This window comes from Homo sapiens, chromosome 6 (genome assembly GCF_000001405.40).
Source record: "Homo sapiens chromosome 6, GRCh38.p14 Primary Assembly".
NCBI lineage: Eukaryota > Metazoa > Chordata > Mammalia > Primates > Hominidae > Homo > Homo sapiens.
In genome coordinates this window covers 54844671-54864094 of record NC_000006.12, presented here as the reverse complement: position 1 = coordinate 54864094, position 19424 = coordinate 54844671, and the positions used below count along the sequence as shown (strand labels likewise).

At 40.4% G+C, this 19424-nt stretch overlaps 1 protein-coding gene across 4 annotated transcripts in view; it reads right to left on the bottom strand.

The window, feature by feature from the left end:
* The window catches only part of FAM83B (family with sequence similarity 83 member B), a 98897-nt gene extending 81005 nt beyond the window's left edge, over nucleotides 1-17892 (bottom strand). The window contains exon 1 of one of the 4 annotated variants that reach the window (XM_017010478.2): nucleotides 17691-17892. The gene's annotated coding sequence lies outside the window, so the exon portion shown is untranslated. Of the gene's footprint in view, nucleotides 1-14428; nucleotides 14527-17268; nucleotides 17325-17379 lie in introns of those variants that run through there. The other 3 variants (XM_006715022.4, NM_001010872.3, XM_011514394.3) reach the window with 3 other exon arrangements.
* Nucleotides 17893-19424: the final 1532 nt, after the last annotated feature.

Genomic DNA, 19424 nt, shown 5'->3' with positions numbered 1-19424 from the left:
GAATAATTCCTGTAAATAAATTCATTAAGAAAAAATAAACCATTTACAGAGAGAGCTTATACTGAATGCTCAAATTCCAAAGGATTATACATGGCTTAAAAATGCAAATAAAATTAAATTATTATTTTACCAACATCTAAACTACAAGGCTATCCTGATAAAGTTGTGTCTTGTGCCATACCAAAGTGACGTATTCTTGTTCTGGCCCTGATCAGTAATCATTTGGATGAATAAATAGAGACACATTAATATAATCTGCAGAAATCAACAAAAAACATACATGTTAGATGCCAAAACAGATATGTAAAATAGTGACAAAGTGGCAAAATAATAAATCAACATGAACATTATTAAGTTCAAGTGCAATAAATTTGGAGGTTTTAATTTATATCAAAAATTAACTACATTCACACAGGATTAGGCAGGGTTTGGAGCCCATTATGTCATGAAGAATAGTTGAAAAATTGGAACTTTTAGTCCAAAGAGAACACTAGGAGATGCACTAAAGGGTAGTCTTCAATTATATGAAGTGGAGAAGTCACAGGTTGGCTCAGCGGCATAGTTGGTAAGATGGCACAGGTTTCGACCTCTACTCTGAAACTTATTGGTTGTAAAACTTCAGTCATGTTATTTAAGGGCCTTAAGCCTCATGGTGCTCACCAGGAAAAAGGGTAAAATAACTGTACTGACCCGAAGGGTTTCTATGTGGACTAAATGAGACAAAGGCCCTCAAGTGTACATGTGCCATAAAAACTGCTAAAAACTGTTAGGTAATAATCTAAGATGGAGTTTTATTTAATAATAAAGCTGCATAAAGACAGAATTGGTACCTCTATTTTGGGTTTTTGTTGTTGTTGTGTTGTTTTTAACTGAAACCCCTCTTTATGTGCATAATTAAGCAGAGGACACATTTTTGGAGAGGGTCCTATAGGATAACAACTTGGATTTCTGAGACTTTCTTCATGTCAGAATTCCAAAATAGTATTTGTTTTGCCCGCTCAAAAGATCTGTGAGGTTCATAAGCTTGCTCAGCAGTGAGGTGTGTTGTGGTTTCCTACACCAGAGTGACAAGAACTCGCCTCCTACTCTTCTTCCCAGTTTCTCCAGAATCACCCTTCAAAGTGCAGCTTCATTTATTTATTTTTTTGCACCAATAAAAAGTATTTAATTAATGAAAACAAGATGACAGGTGGATTTTTTTTTTCGTGGTTTTTTTGGGGGGGGGTTTTTGCACCCAGCCTGGAGTGCAATGGCGCGATCTCGGCTCACTGCAACCTCCACCTCCCAGGTTCAAGTGATTCTCCTACCTCAGCCTCCCAAGTAGCTGGGACTACAGGCACACACTGCCATGCCCGGCTAATTTTTCTTTTCTTGTATTTTAGTAGAGATGGGGTTTCACCATGTTGCCCAGGCTAGTCTTGAACTTTTGAGCTCAGGCAACCTGCCCACTTCAGCCTCCCAAAGTCCTAGGATTACAGGCATGAGGCACCGTGCCCGGCCAATGACAGGTTTTTAAAAAAGAAGAAGAAACACTTGCTGATCCATCTAGCCTCTCATTTTACGGAGGAAGAAGCGAATGTCCACCACGGGCCACACACTGAAAGTCACATCCTGGGTAAGAACTCAAGTCTGTTAACTGCCATCTAGTGTCCTTCCCACAGTCCTAGCTTCCTCAGCAAGGGTTACTTCCCTCACTGTTTTTAGGGTGTGCCTTGGATCACTCCAACTATACCCTGATGCTGCTCAAAGGCTGGACTACACCTTCTCCTTTTGTTCCCCTCCTCCTGTGACCCACTGTGCTCAGCCCAGACTGGTCATATAATCTGAATAGATCTATAGCCTCTCAAAACCCGTGGCCTTCTGTGGCAGGCCAGGTTCCCATTAGCCACTAGAAGAGTCAGTTTCTACTAATCCTCTATTATAACTCTGATGTATGTAGAAGTTAAACATTAAAGAACTGGGGAAACTGGTGCCTGAGTACAACGGCTGGAATACGAAAACAAACCCATTATGACCCCACCTGGGTTTTCTTAGACCCTAATGTCTGATTGAATAATAAAGGCATTCTTACACGTATACCTTGTACCAGGGCCCACTTAAGAAACTTTCCAAGACTCTAGAGAAAACCTTCCAGACTCCAGACTCTAGTTAAAGATTAGATATAGATTGAATGAAACACTCCGGCTTGTAGGTGCACTCCCACAGGTAGGCATGGGGCTTAAAACGTACATAAGCACTAGAAAAAAACTTGTAACTTGGAGTTGGTCCGGTGAGTTACTCAGGCCTTTTCCCTGTAACCGGTTGCAGAAATAAACTCCCTTCTTTCCCCGTCTGTCTGCATCTCATTATCGGACAGTGAGAACAAGCAGCTGGACCTTTCTGTCTGGAAACACTCCAACTAGATTTGGGGCCATTTTACCTGGGATTCATTGCTTCTTCCATCATTTTATAAACTGAAATGACATTTAGGGCCAGAAAGAACCCAAGAGACCACATCATGGACCATTCCTCTCATTTTATGAGACCACTTCTTTTTTGTTTGTTTGTTTTGGAGGTGGGGTCTTCCTCTGTCAGCAGTGTCACAATCTTGGCTCAGTGCAACCTCCACCTCCTGGGCTCAAGTGATCCTCCCACCTCAACTTCCTGAGTAGCTGGGACCACAGACACGCCCCACCATCCCTGGCTAATTTTTTTGTATTTTTGGTAGAGCCAGGGTTTTGCCATGTTGGCCAGGCTGGTCTCAAACTCCTGGGCTCAAGTAATCCATTCATCTTGGCTTCCCAAAGTGCTGGGATTACAGATATGTGCAACTGTGCCCGGCCTAGGCCACTTCTCTACTGGGACATTTTGATGCAGTTTAAAGAATGAAATATTCAACTCTCATCTTAGGAAAGATTTGCTCAAATTCATCTCAAATTAATAATGAAATACTGCCTTAATAACGGAAGGTAACAGAGTGAGAGTTGACTAAAGTATAAACTAGAGACTACTAAAAAATAAATTTTAAGAAAACATAAACCCATGGCCGGGCATGGTGGCTCACACCTATAATCCCAGCACTTTGGTAGGCCAAGGCAAGCAGATCACCTGAGGTCATGAGTTCAAGACCATAACATGAACAACCACAATATCCTCAAGTCCTGGAGAGGGTCAGGGATAAGCAGAGCAATGAGTCAGCGCTCAGGGAGGTCTGTGGTTAACATGCTGTGAACATGTACACAAGAGAGTTTTACATTTTGATGAAACACTTTCCTTACGCAGCTTTATAGTTTTAGATTTTAAGTATTAGGTCTTTGATTCATCTCAAATTAATTTTCGTATATGGGGTGTGATACGATTATGTACATATATTTATACACACACTTACACATAATACAGTTGTTACAGGGCTATTTACTGAAAAGACAATTCTATTTCCCATTGAATTGATTCACGCCTTGGTTGAATGTGACACAACTATATAAGGAGGGTCTATTTCTGGGTTCTTTCTTCTGTTCCATAGATCTCTTTATTGATACATATGTCAGTATCACACAATCCTGGTTACTATAGCTTAATAGTCTTAGAGTTACTTAATGTAAGTTCTCCACTTTGTACTTCTCTTACAAGATTTTTTTAGGATATTCTAGTCCCTTTGCATTTTAGAAACAGCTTGTCAATTTTTTTAATGGCATACAATAAAGGATACAACTCAGGAAGAGCCAAATGCATAGGGCAAGGTATAGGAGTATAGAGGAAGTGAGGAGCTTTCATGCTCTCTCTAAGCACATCCCTGTCTCAGCAAGTCAATGTGTTTACCAACCCAGACTCTCCAGCTTCATTTTTTTTCTAAGTTAACTAAGCAACATTATCAACACCACTATTCAAATGCAAAAACAAAACAAGATTGTTAAAAGCTGCCTCTAGTGGTTTTAATAACATGCAGAAAAGCTTGTTATTATGCTATGTAGCTAACAAGCAGGCTACAAAACTATATAAGAGCAAAATTATAATTGGAGAAAATTCACCCAAAAACAAAAGGAAAACACACACACACACACACACACACACAATGAGGGTGGTTTTCTTTGAGTAGTGGTTCTACAGGTGGTTTTTTGAAGCTTCTTTTCACTTTTCTGTATTTAACAAATGTTTATCAATGAATATGTATTATTTTGCAATGGGGAAAGATTTTTTAAAAGAAGTACCTCAACAGTTATTTTTGAGTTTACAATAACCACTTCTTTTCTCATTCACAGACTGTTGGCTGTAATTGGTGATTCAAAACCCTGCATATCAAAGTTTGATAATTCTTATAGAGCAACACATGAACAAGTACAGAATATCCAAACTAAAGCCATATGGGTACAGACCCATAAAGGAAAAAAATTAAAATAACTAGATGTACTTAATTAGGGCTTAGTAAGTAGCTCACTGACACACAGTGTCATGCCTAACACTCGGGGGCTAGTACAACAGTCACTGAAAGGAGCTCCCACAGTAATCCCTAACACATGCTATCCCTTCTCATGCATTATTTAAATGCATCATACTCTACCCTCTCCACTAGACTGTGAGCTCTATGATGGCAGAGATTATGTCTGTTTAGTACAATTCTAAATGCTCAGTAAGTACATAATTGTTAAATAAGCTAATGATATACTGCCTTAATAACTGAAGGTAACAGAGTGAGAGTTGACTAAAGTCTAAACTAGAGACTGCTAAAAAATAAATTAAAAAAAATCATAATACCCGTGGCCGGGTGCAGTGGCTCATGCTGGTAATCCCAGCACTTTGGGAGGCCAAGGTGTGCAGATCATGAGGTCAGGAATTGGACTCCAGCCTGGCCAACATGGCGAAACCCAGTCTCTACTAAAAATACAAAAGTTAGCTGGGCATGGTGGTGGGTACCTGTAATCCCAGCTACTCAGGAGGCTGCGGCAGGGAGAATCGCTTGAACCCGGGAGGCGGAGGTTGCAGTGAGCTGAGATCACGCTATTGCACTCCAGCCTGGGTGACAGAGTGAGACTCCGTCTCAGTGCTGGGGGCTGGGGGGTGGGCACGGTGTCGGGGGAGGAATTATAATGCCCATACAGAAACTGTCAATATCTGAACATATATTTGCTTATGTTAAATCGAGGTTAGGTTTTTGGTAATATAAAATATTACCCATTTATAAAGGGCTTCAGAAAGAATAACCAGAAATGCGCTGAGTACTGTAAAAGTGATTAGGTAAATGGATAGATCTATATCAAAAACATAAATATTAATTTCAAATGAGAACTTTGTCAGAAGAAGAAAGGTGGTATCAAGTGTCTCTGGGGATTCTCCATAAAATTTGCATTTTTCATTATTTTATTATGTTAAAGTCATTCTGCAAACAGATTCTTGGCATTTTCATTAATCATAAAAAAATAAATTACTAAGTCTTGTGTTTTCAACACAAATAGTGATACAAATTAGCTATAAAGCATGACTCATTTTTTCTTGTGTTTCTGGTATCAGTTTTGTTATTATATAAACTTATTTCAATAGCAAGAAAAGATTAATTGGCTGTTTAAATAAATTATGGTTATGTATATTTCATATATCAATAAGGTGAAATTGAAGTAACTATATATTTCAGAGCAGTCCCTGGGAAGCTGAAGTCTATATTTTACAACTTGATATAACAGAACAGTGTAAGGCTTAAGTTCATCCAATAAGTCATCCAAATATGAATCTAGATTCTTTTTTCAAGAAGAATGCATCCCTCACTCTACTCTAAAGGTAGGCAAAACTTACAACAAGATGAGGATCTCCTTTTCTTGAAAATGTCGGATAGGTGGGGGAAATGACTTTTAAATAGTGACTATTGTTAGTGCCAATGGTATCTGAAAATCATTGCTGAGATATGCAGAAGACTAAGAATTTTCCTCAAGTGTCATCAAAGCTATTGATTTTCCTGTTATCAGGGTTTGGACTTGGGAGTTGCCATCTCTCTTCGCTCTTCTCTCTTTACTCTCCCAGAATAATCCCGTCCAGTCTTACATCCATGAATGACTTGCAAACATCCAGACTTCACTGCTCCCTTCTCCTCTAGACTCACATATCCAGTTGGTTTGTGGACCTCTTCCCTGGATATCCAACAGGTTTTCTTTCTTTACACCTAACATCCTGAGTTAATTTCCAACTTAGGATCTTTGCACTAGCTGTTCCATCCACCTGGAATGCTCCTTTTTTTTCATTTCTATCTTATCCATATGCCACCTTCTCTGAGAGGTCTTCCCGACTACCCATTGTAGAGAGTGCCCACTCTCTCTGCCATACTTAATCGTTGTACCCTGCTCTAACTTATAACACTTATTATGTGAAGTAAGTAAAATATTTATTTATGTGCTATTTCCTGTACCCCCTTCAGTAAAATAACAGCTGCTTAAAGGCCACTGAGTCTGTATATTCTAATTTACCACTGGCCCCATCATGTTGGTTATTCCATATTTTAGGTATCATCACTGTCTTGGATAAGACCTATTCTCTTACATTACAAGTAAATTCAGTTCTGCCCTCACGGTATAATTATAAAGGAGAAATAACTAGAGATCTGTCGACCTACCCCTTACTTATTCACCTTGACTCTCCTCCTCCTCACTTCACAACACTCATACATAATTCCCTGAACACCACGGGAAGCAGGGTTCAGTCTCGTTCAACCTCAGTTTCAGAAATGTAGTATAATTTACAACAAAGACATATTTAGACAAAAACACCACAGGCAACAAGAGCCCCATGGAGTGAAATGCTGAATGTGTCATGTGCCCTCCTGTCCCACCTCTGAGTCTATTTAAGGCCAATAAAGTCACTCTTGGTGCATGCTGACATTTGCAGAGTAAATGCTGTAGGAAAAATGATAAATGTGTGTTCCAATACCAACTTTTAAAACAGCTTCCCAAATACATTTAACAAGGGTAGTGTGCCTCAACTATAAAATAGTGCGAAAGTCTATAAATAAAATGTCTTAAGAAAATGTATTTTGTTTAGTTATGTTAGGAACAGCTTTTCATAAAAAGTAAAATTGTTACATACATTTAGTGGCAGAAAAGCAGTCTCAGACGCTTATAAAGTAGAGGGTTAAAAACAGAAATAATTTTGTGCCAATTGTGTAAGTGGACACAAATTTATTTAGTTCGAATGCCAAATAATATTAAATATTAATAATATATCTAGCCTGGAAAGCTTTTAGTTTTCACTTGGTTAAAGAGCCATATAAATAATCAGAATATCTAAAAATAATCCCAATACCTACCAATTCTTTATCAGTCATTTCCCTTAGGATTCACTTGTAATCAAGCCTGCCTAGACAGCTGTATCACAACTGAAAAAAGTGCTTTTCTCTTTATGTTACCCCAGAAACTGCCAACAAATCTGATCAGAAAACTAGCCCACTCTAGTTCGACTTTTTGTTCTTTTCAAAATAACCTTTTTTGTTGGCTTCTTTACTTGTTTATAGAGCACTTGCACACAGGGAAGTTAATAAATAAGAGATAAATAAAGAAATATATATTTTAAATGTGTAAAATGCTGCTGGATTTATATAGACAGATTTCTAGGACTTGTGGGTTACATATGAACAGTCACTTGGTTTCTCAGCTTTCTCTCTCTACAATTGTGCTCAATTCTTCTGACAGCAGGGCTAACTTGCAAGACTGCAATTCTGAGACAAAGCTGATGTTTATAGAACTCTGCTAGTCACAGTTGCTTAAACCACACCTGAACCAGAAAATGCACCTGGCAGCTTATTTCACTTTCATTTGTCCTTAAGGCCTATGTCAGCATAACAGTGGGGGAGAGGGAGACGACTTGGCCACATGGTATTGCAGCTATCACTGGTTGACTTATCGCTCTGCACAATTTACATATGGGTGTGTATATGTGAGTCCATGAGTAAATCTTGCTTTTTCCACTCCTTCGCAGCTCAAAGTTCTAACTGATTTCAAAGACAGGGCTCCTCACTTAGTCTCTCAATTAAGCTTTCCCCAAAGAGTTGTGGCCATTATTTAGCAATTGCTACAACACTACATATCTTAAGTGAAAAGACCTTGGCACCCTTTCCATGGAATCATCATTGATTATGTTATCTATACCTTTCTTCTCTTTCAGTTTTAACCATCCTCTGTACAAATCAAAAATATTTATCATATGTATACAAAATAAACTGAATTATTTGGGAGACAATGGAATTTCTACATTGTTACATTAAAATCAAAGATGATTCATTTCTTTAACTCAAGTAATTAATGGTTTTATCAAATTATTTACTCTGTGTGTGATACATCCACACACATACTTAGGATTTCAAGGGCTCCTGCCCCCACTTTTTGGTGAATCGTATTTTGGATCCACCCCAAATTTCTGTGGAATCACATTTTGGATCTAATGACCTTGGAGAGATTTAACACTCTTCTTTTCCTGTAAATGTCTTATTCTAATTCTTCCACATACAAGATTTAACATGCTAAATGGGAGTAAAGCCACTCCATAAACAAAATATAGAATTTCAAATAGTTTGAAGACCTTATGTTAATAACAGAGCTATGAGTATGGCTTTGAGTATGAACCAAAGGTGACAGATTTCTCAGATAATATATTGAGATATCAACGGACATGAATTGGCCTAGTATCACACAAATAAGTGCTTCTGCAATAAACCACTTTCTATATTTTTTTCAACGTATATGGACTGATGTTTTTGTCTGACATTAACAGACATAGAAATTGTAGCCATATGCTGTAATTTTCAATTATATGTATAAGTGATCTCCTACTTAGCTCTTTTGACATTTGAAAATCCTGAACTTTTCTGCATGAGAGATTGACACTCAAAACAACTTTAATAATTCTAGTCTTTAATCCATCAATTACTAAGTATTTCATTTTACTGTACATGGGGCTGCCAGCATGTCAATATGCAGTTTCAATAATATCACTGTATTTCTTTTTACTGCGTATTTGCACACTTATTTGAATATTTTATTGCAATTTGAACTTATAATCAATTTTGAAAACTGGAAAAATGAAAATTCTGAAGTTAGTGACAGGATGTTTATAATTTGGATACAATTAAAGCAAAGATGAACTTCACTGTACATGCCAAGAGAAGCGGCCCTTTGGTCTTGATCAGATGACCATTGCACACGTGTTCCATTGTGAAGAAAAGGAACAATTTTTTAAAAGTATAAAATACTAGAAACATATTGTTGAATATTGTGTTTACAATGTTTACAGAGTAATCAATCGTCAATTGTATTTATATTTTAGCTACTAGAAAATAAAATTTGACTTGTATTAGAATATAAAATTTGACTTTCACACCTAGGCATACGCTGAAGATAATACAGGTTGGGTTCCAGACACCACAATAAAGTGAGTATTGCAATAAAATGAGTTACACAAATTTTTTTTGGTTTCCCAGTGCATATATAAGTTATGTTTACATTATACTGTGGCTTATTAAGTGTGCAATAGCATTATGTCTGAAACATCAATGAACAACCTTAGTCAAAAGATAAGTTATCCCTAAAGAAATGCTAACTATCATCTGAGCCTTCAGCAAGTTGTAATCTTTTTGCCATTGGAGGGGCTTGTCTTGATGTTGATGGCTGCTGACTGATCAGGGTGGTGGTTGCTGAAGGGTGGGGTGGCTATAGCAATTTCTTAAAATAAGACAATAACGAATTTTGCCAGAAAGATTGACTCTTCCTTTCACAAACGATTTCTCTGTAGCATGCAATGTTGTTTAACAGCAGTTTACATATGGTAAAACTTCTTTCAAAATTAGAGTCAATCTTCTTAAATCCTGCTGCTGTTTTACCAACTAAGTTTTTATAATATTCTAAATTCTTTGTTGTCACTTTAACAATGTTCATAGCACCTTCACCAAGAGAGTAGATTTCATCTCAAGAATCCACTTTCTTTGTTCATCTATGAGAAACAACACCACATCCATTAAAGTGTTATCATGACACTGAAAAAACTAAGCCACATCTTCAGGCTCCTCTTCTAATTCTATTAATAGGTCCCTTGCTATTTCCACCATATCTGCAATTACATCCTCCACAAAAGTCTTGAACCTTTCTAAGACATCTACAAGAGTTAGAATCAACTTCTTTCAAACTGCTGTTAATGTTGATATTTTGACCGCCTCCCATGGATCACAAATGTTCTTAATGGCATGTAGAATGGTGATTTCTTTCCAGATTTTCTATTTATTTTGCTCAGATTCATTAGAGGAATCACTTACCTGTGGCAGCTATAGCTTTATGAAATGCCTTTTTAAATAATAAAACTTAAAAGTCAAAGTCACTTCTTGATCCATGTGCTATGGAACAAATGTTGTGTCAGAAGGCATGAAAACAACATTAATCTCCATCAGATCTCTTAGGTGACCAGGTGCACAGTCTATAAGCAATAACATTTTGAAAGGAATCTTTTTTTTCTGAGAAGTAGGTCTCAACAGTAGGCTTAAAAAGTCAGTAGACCTTGCTGTAAACAGATGTGCTCTCATCTGAGCTTTGTTGTTCCATTTACAGAGCACAGGCAGACTAGATTTAGAATAATTTTTGAAGACCTTAGGCATTCTGGGATGGTAAATGAGCAGTGGCTTCAACTTAAAAGTCACCAGCTGTATTAACCCCTAAAAAGTCAGTCAGCCTATCCTTTGAAGCTTTGAAACCAGGCATTGACTTCCCCTCTCTAGCTCTGAAATACTAGATGGCATCTTCTTCCACTAGAAGGCTGTGTCACCTACATTAAAAATGTGTTGTTTAGTGTCACTTTGTTCATCAATTATCTTAGCTAGATTTTCTGGATAACTTGCTTCAGCTTCTTCATGAGCACTTGCTGCTTCACTTTGCACATTTACATTTTGGAGACAGCTTCTTTTCTTAAACCTCAGGAACCAACCTCTGCTAGTTTCATACCTTTCTCCTCCAGCTTTCTCATCTCTCTCAGCCTTCACAGAATTGAAGAGAGTTAAGGTCTTGCTCTGGATTAGGCTTTGGCAGAGAATGTTGTGGCTGGCTTGATCTATCCAGGGGTGTCTAATCTTTTGGCTTCCCTGGGCCAAAAAGGATTGTCTTGGGCTACGCATAAAATACACTAACAACAATAGCCAATGAGCTTAAAAAAAGAAAAAAAAATTGCAACAAAAATCGAATAATCTTTTAGGAAAGTTCACAAATTTGTATTGGGCAGCATTCAAAACTGTCCTGGGCTATATATGGCCTGCAGGCCACAGATTGAACAGCCTTGAATTCTAGACCAATAAGATTTTCTCCCTATCAGCAATGCCATTTTACTCTCTCATGATGTGTGTGTTTACTGGAGTAGCACTTTTAATTTCCTTCAACAACTTTTCCTTTGCTTTCACAATTTGGATAATTGTCTAGTACAAGAGATTTAGCTTTTAGCCTATCTCAGCTTTCAACATGACTTCCTCACTGAGCTTAATCATTTCTAGCTTTTGATTTAAAATGAGGGCATGCAACTCTTCCATTCCCTTGAACATTTAAAGGCCCTGGTAGAGTTATTAAGTGGCCTAATTTCAATACTGTGCCCAAGGAGTGGGAAAGGCACAGGGGAATGGCCAGTTGGTGGAGCAGTCAGAACACACACAACATTTATAGATTAAGTTCACTGTCATATGTGCACATGATTTGTAGCACCCCCAAAAAATTACAAGAGTAACATCAGAGATCAATGATCACCAAAAAAAGATATTATAATAATGAAGTTTGAAATATTGTGAGAATTATCAAAATGTGACACAGAGACACAAAGTGAGCATGTGCTGTTGGAAAAATGGCACTGACAGACTTGCTTAAGGCAGTGTTGCCAGAAACCATCAATTAGTAAAAACACAATTGCTGCAAAGTACCATAAAGCAAAGCACAATAAAACGAGATATGCTTCTAATTTTACTTGTACAGATTTTTAGAATACCAAAGTAGAGAACTGTGCTGATAAAGATGACAGACAGAAATAAAGAACTGTAAATAGGCCAGGCGCAGTGGCTCACACCTGTAATCCCAGCACTTTGGGAGGCCGAGGTGGGTGGATCACAAGGTCAGGAGTTTGAGACCAGCCAGGCCAACATAGTGAAACTCCGTCCCTACTAAAAACACAAAAATTAGGCCGGGCGCGGTGGCTCACGCCTGTAATCCCAGCACTTTGGGAGGCCGAGGCGGGAGGATCACGAGGTCAAGAGATCGAGACCATCCCGGCTAAAACGGTGAAACCCCGTCTCTACTAAAAATACAAAAAATTAGCCGGGCGTAGTGGCGGGCGCCTGTAGTCCCAGCTACTTGGGAGGCTGAGGCAGGAGAATGGCATGAACCCGGGAGGCGGAGCTTGCAGTGAGCCCAGATCTCGCCACTGCACTCCAGCCTGGGCGACAGAGCGAGACTCCGTCTCAAAAAAAAAAAAAAAAAACACAAAAATTAGCCGGGCATGGTAGCGCCTGCCTGTAGTCCCAGCTACTCGGGAGGCTGAGGCAGGAGAATCACTTGAACCCGGGAGGCAGAGGTTGTGGTGGGCCAAGATCACGCCATGGCACTCCAGCCTGGGCAACAGAGTGAGACTGTGTCACAAAAAAACAAACCAAACCAAAACAAAACAAAACAAAATGTAAATAAATAGGTAGTTCAACAGATGGTGAAATGGACAAATAAATAGAAGTATGAAATGGGAGATGAGAAAGAAGAAAGATGAACGGGAAAAAAAGTAAATCAGAAGGACTCAGAAGGGATAGATAAAAAGAGAAGGTAAGTGAAGAGAAAAACATAATGGGAGGGAAGAGAAGAGAAGCATAAAAGAAAAAAGAAGGAAGAGAAGGGACAAAAGGAGGATACAAAGGATGAGATGTGACAAAAAAAGATGAAAAGGCCAATAAAGATGAAAATGGAAAGGAAGGGTTGAAACTAAAAAAAAGAATCACAGGGGAACACTGTAAACAGTTACTTACTCTAAAAACAACTTAGCTATATTGCACTCATCTTTAAACAAATAAGTCAGAAGTTACATTTGAGAAAAATACAGCACTTTTTTTTTTTTTTTTTTTTTTGAGATGAGTCTCACTCTGTCACCCAGGCTGGAGTGCAGTGGCGCGACCTGGGCTCACTGCAAGCTCTGCCTCCCAGGTTCAAAAAATTCTCTGCCTCAGCCTCCCAAGTAGCTGGGATTACAGGCACCCGCCACCACGCCTGGCCAATTTTTGTATTTTTAGTAGAGACGGCGTTTCACCACCTTGGCCAGGCTGGTCTTAAACTCCTGACCTTGTGATCCACCCGCCTCAGCCTCCCAAAGTGCTGGGATTACACGTGTGAGCCACTATTTCCAGCCGTTAAAATATAGTACTTTTAAAACATCTGTTGAATGAGTCTTATGAGACTAGGTATTTGGAGTAACATGCTGTTAAGAATTAAAGCCATCATTGCCAGTGTGTATATATAAATGACAGCCCAAACATCTTATGTTGAGTTATTCTATTACCACCATTGAGATGGAAGATGACACTCTTTAGTGCTTTGAAAACTGCCTTTTCTTCTCCAAGTAGTAATGTTTATGTAATCAAAGAAGGAATCTGATGTTAAAGAACGAAAACCTTTTGAAATGAAAATTTGGCCAAAGAAGTGGAAATAATAAGCTTCACAGTGATACTGTGGGGAAACCTTAGTTAACATTATTTTATGATACTCTCAATAAGAAGTGATCACAGAGAATTTCAGAGCAGTGTGGGTGGGACACAGGAGTGACCACATAGTCTAAACCTTTCACAATACCAGTGAAAAACCTGCAAGCCTAAAGAATGTTAATACTTTGTCAAAAAACATGACTATCCCAGGGCTGCTAATGTTCAATTTCACAAATGATTAATGAACACAAACAACGTCTGCTGTGACCTTCAGAGAATAGGAAGGAACTACAAAAATCAGTGGACTTGATCCATTTATTTATTTGTGTACTTATAATTATCATTAGGTTCCTAAACTGGAAGCTTCCTAAGATCCAGGAATATATTTTTACTTTCCTACCCCTGGAGAGGAACATATTGCTTGGCAGATAATGGTCAATAAATATGTTTAATCAAAGGGATAGTGTAAAAGAGCACAAAGTTAGAGCCATTAGATAATCATCATCACTGCATAACTTCTCTATAAACTCTTCAACATAGGCCCCTGCCAGTAACCGGGAGACTACACCTGACTCTATGTCAGTATGCAAGAGAGGCTGACCATGACTAATTTAAGTTTCCCATGGACCAGTAATCTACAAATTATTTAAGACACAGCTGAAAAGATAAATGTCATGTGCCCTTAGGGGACTTCTCACCCCACTCTTAAGGACAATGTAAAAATAAAACAAAAGACAAACTGGGTAGTAATTAGATGTCCCCAGAGGAAAAGTTTCCTACCGTTCATGATCATGTGATTCCAGGACTTCCCAACATAGACAGCATGCCCAATGAATATCTCTCATATTTGGATCATCTCTCCACCAAGGCTCACCTTCCTTACAGCATCACAGCCCCTGAAAACATCCTTTGCCCCCTCCATCACCCACCCCTACCTTCTGTACATGTTAGCCCCCTGCCTCCTTAGTGCACCCTCCTCCCCAGCATACAGCCCACTTGCCCCCCACTCCACCTCACCTCCACGTATATCCTTTCCACTGGAGCCTACCATTTCCCCCAGCTCTTGTCTCAGGAGCCCACAGCACTCAGCCTCCCAATCCCCTTGGGAAGCCTGCTCTACCCTTAGGGGCCAGGATACTTCTAGACAGTGCCCATGCCCATTGGCACACCTCAGTGGGAAGGAAGCTCCCACTGAAGGCTCTAACACATTTTCTCAGAGAAATGTTGTTGGCTTTGATTCTTGATGGAGTTTAAGTGCTATTTGTACAACTTTTTATCTACGGCATCCTTAAAGCTGGGCTGTGAATAACCATCATTTAGAACTCTGTTTCCATGGGGGAGCGGATGTATTCTGATGTTCAGATGATAAATTCAACAACAAAATTCTAAAATACATTCCATCTCCAGATCAGAAATTAAAGGAACAAAAGCACATTTCAAAATGAACAAAACATTGTGTTTAAAAAGGTGAATTGTGAAACATCCATGGGACATTCACATTTTGCAACTTATAAAGGGACAGACGTGCAAACTTACCTAACTAGATAAACAAGGACAACTTGAAATTTTACCAATAATTCATTAAATTAAGCTAAGTGGCCTCTTTTCAAAAGGTCTCCTCCAACCAGATTTATGTATTAGAAGAGTCCCGCTTTGATGGGATAACAGTTTCACCCCAAGATTCTGGACACTTAAAAGTATAATAACATTACATTTTGGCAACTCAGTATTGTATAATGTAATTAAATGGGAAACAAGTAGGTTAGTTGCTGCAAGGTGAGTCATGGTCAAGAAAATACTCAGTGAATGAACCTCCACCTTAACCTATAAAGAACGGTGGACGGTAGAGGAAATAAAATAGAAAGATTAATAAAATTAATTACTTCATCCCAAAAAAGTTTAGCCAGTTAGCGTCATAAACTCAAGGGCATAAACGTAAAAGACATCACTGAGTCAGCACCAGAGGTGTGGTTTGTCTCCATCTATACAATCTCTTTCAGCAACTGTTCAACTGGTAATGCTTCCCACAATAAATTCTCAGCATCTGCGGTCTAAAGCCTGCCAGCTTTAAAGGCAGGATCCACCCAGCCCCTTAGGCAGGCTCTAGAGGGTGTAGCCAGCACCCTAAATAGGTGTATACCCCACGTGTGCCTGAGCCCCAAAGGCAAGGGGGTGGAATTTGCAATTGGAAGGTGTGGGGACTTCTACTTTTCTGGGAACTATAGGAAGACAGAGAGAAACAAACGCAACAAAGACCTGCACTCCCAACCTTCCATCATTCTGTTTCACATTATTCTCATTCTCCAATCATTTTGAGCCTCCCACCGCCACCCCCACCCCCACTCCAATAAAAAACAAAAAACCCCAGTTTTCTCTTCTAAGTCTCTTTCATCACTCTCTCCCTTCCTGTTGCTTGTCAGCAATGATTCAGCCTCAGTCATGGATTTCCTCGGGGCTCTTGCACTTGTTAGGATGAGAAAGGGAAAGAAGGGAGGTGCCTGCCAGTAACCTAGCAAGATGTTTGTAACTGGGAATTTGGACATAAGCTGTTGAGCATTAAATTCTAGCCTCAATTGCTTGCCACCCGCACACCTTCTTCTTAAGTGTTCTGGCCGCCTGAGCTCTCATTTCCACTTCTAGGTCAGAGAGACCCTATAACTTCACCGCTCCGAGCATAGACAACATGCTAACCTGTGTTTCCATAACCTCCCAGCCTCCTCCTATAAAGAAAGCGCTGTTGTCTCTTTACATACCTATGACTCCTGCAATGAACACAGGCATTCTCTGCCTGTCCATTAACCTTACACAGGTAAGTCTCCCCACATATCACACAGAATAGGCCAAAAGTCTCCAAGTCCCGTTCCAGGAGCAATCTGCTCTAGGCCTACTCTCCTCTTCTAGATCACTCACCAGGATCTAGAGCAGTGGTTCTCAAACTTTGGTAGGTACAGGCTCTCCTGGAGAGCTGCTAGGGCACACAGACCCAGACTCAGGCCGACCCAAGTATGAAAAACACAGGTCGCTACCAGTCTGCACTCAGAAACGGGATCCTGTACAATTAAGAGGTTGTGTGAAAAAACTGTCTTTTCAAGTTCTGCTCCCCACTCAGGATCTAAAGAACACCCACGCCCCTCAGCGACCTAAGCTCTCCCACCTTTTCCCGGAACCCCCCACCCCCATGCCCTCTGCTTCCACCCTGGACTTCCTCCCACGAGACTTTTCCCAGCGGTCTCTCCTCCCGCTTCCCCTCCCGGGGTCCTCGGCGCACTCCTACACTGGAAAAGAGGAAACAAATGCAGCCTCCACGAGGGGCGGCGCCAGTCCTCTGGGGACCCAAACCGACTCCGCCCGAGACAACTTTTCAAACTTCTCAACTCACTCGAACCCCCACGACAATGAAAGAAACGTAGAAAAGACTGAAGCAACTGAGCTTTACACCCTGTGGAATTTCCAATCCCGCCTGCGCTCCCAAGGGAGAGTCCCCTATCCCTCCCGTCCGCCGCGCCGGCCAGGGGCGGGTGAAGCCCCGGGCCCCCCCAGTACCCCAAGCACCTCAACCCTGCACCCGCTGGGGTCCCGTCCGCCGAGGTCCGGGGCAAGGGAGCCCAAACCCCACTTACTTGCCCCAAGCCGCGCGCAACCGCGCCCGCCGCACAGCGCCGGCCGCCGAAGGTTTGCCTCCCAGGAAGCAGCAAGCGCCTGGGCGCGGGCAGGGAGGGGAGGGGAGTTACCTGCCCAGCGTCAGGTCCGCGGAGGGAGGCTGATTCCGGCTCGAACCGCGCCTCCCCGAGACAAGGTGCAGCGCTGGAGGGGGCGGGAGTGGAGACGGGTTACAACAAGTCCCAAGTGGTGGCACGCCAAACCCCGAACAGCCAGAAAGCGCTCGGAACCTGTCTGAACTCAAACACCCTGCTCTCTCCCAGCGGAGTATGAAAAAGCCTTTCTTTCCTGCCCGCCCTCGGGGCTACGGGGCAATTACAAGTCCCGACACCCTGCTCCTGGTCTGGGGCGAGGAGCGATCCCGGAGGACAGCGACGCTCACCTGGGAAGAAGGCGGATCTAGGCCGAGCGGGGCCGTGGTCCCGTCCTCGCTTTTCCCTGGGCTCAAGAATGCCTGGAGGAGAGGCCTGGGGGCCGCGGGTGAGAGCAAGGGTTGTAGCACCTTCGAGAGTGTGGGGCGGATTCAGCCCACAGTAGGTAATTCCAGTGGGCATCCCGCAGTGCAGACTCCTTCTCAGTGCCTAAGAGTCTTTAGGCTTGGAGAGGACGTGGGGAGTGGAAAAGTAGAAGAAAAAGTGCTTGTGCCTTTACTTTTTTATGTAAAAGAATTTCAAATATCATCAAAGATTTTGGTACTGACTCTCAACTGTCCTAGTTACAGATTTGGGATGAAAGGATATTGTTTAAAATAGGGAGATGTGCGTGAAAGCAGGTCCCTCTAGGTGGGATACTGCGGAGCAATGTTACGGAAGTGGAGACACTATAATTTAAACATAAAATACAGTAATTAATAAAATTTATTTTTTAATTTCCTTGCCTACACCTCAGTAAATCTGTCATGAGTATTTATAATAATTTGTGTAATCACGTAGACTTCAAGATAAAGTCATTTGCAGCAAATGTCTAAAATGCAGCCTAGTACTGTAAGAATGGAATTTAGGGTAGTAATAGGCATATTTTAAGCGTCTGGCATAATATATAAATTATCATAAAATTGAATTGACCCTTAAAAATGACTTTCGTGGCGATTTTGCTCCAAATAAAACAGTTGAGGAAAATGCTAAGCCATTAAGGTTTGGATGAATCCCTGACTGACGTGCTGATTTAAACTGAAGAATGAAATTCGCATTAGTCTAGATACTGAAACATCAGAGCAAAGGCCAAAGACAGGAAAGTAAAAGCAAATTCCAGGATTAGTACAAAGCTAATCTTCCAGATCTTGGTGTCTGGTTTGTAGTTTCATTTCTTCAAAAGAATGTAGAGAATTGTCTTGTTTTATGTATTTATTTTTTCCTTCTGTTCCTAATTTTCACATCTCACTTTTTAATATTTTTTCAGTTCTCTTCCTCATTTTTGGCATGCAATCCATTGACTAAATTAATATTCTCTATGTGGTACTTAATATACTGGCGTGTTTCTACAGCCTTTGAGAATAATTCTGAATGTCTCTTAAAGGTGCAATACTTATGAACGTTTTGAGATGCACTTATCCTATTGTTAAAAATATCAAGAATATTTGGAGTTAAATGAGGCCCATAGGAAGTCTAATTTTATTAAGATATGCACTCATGCTAAGTCAAGTGAAATCACAAAGAAAGAAGGATATATCTACTCGAGTGTTCATTATTAAAAGCAAACAAAAGATCAGAAAATAGACGTGGAGAGGGAGAATCTATTAAAGGTATTATGCTATGTAAGACCTTTCCATCCTTAATGGGATGGAAAAATAGATAAAATTGATCTCACCCCTTAAGGAGCCTAGAAGGTGGGTGAGGAATGTGGACAGAATTTCACAGAACTATTAGAATTTGAGTTGGGTCCCGACTGATGAGCAAACTTGTCAGGAGAATGAAATTGACATGTGATTAGATGCTGAAAGAGCAGAGTAAAGGCTAAAAGCAAGTTCCAGAACCACGCAAATCAATTACCTGATTTGGCCATGGGCATCACATGGTTGTGAGTGGTGGAAGATACATTTAGACATAAAGTTTGGAGTAATTTTCTCACAGAATGAGATCAAAATTATTTATAATCTAAGATTGTTGTGAGAATTATA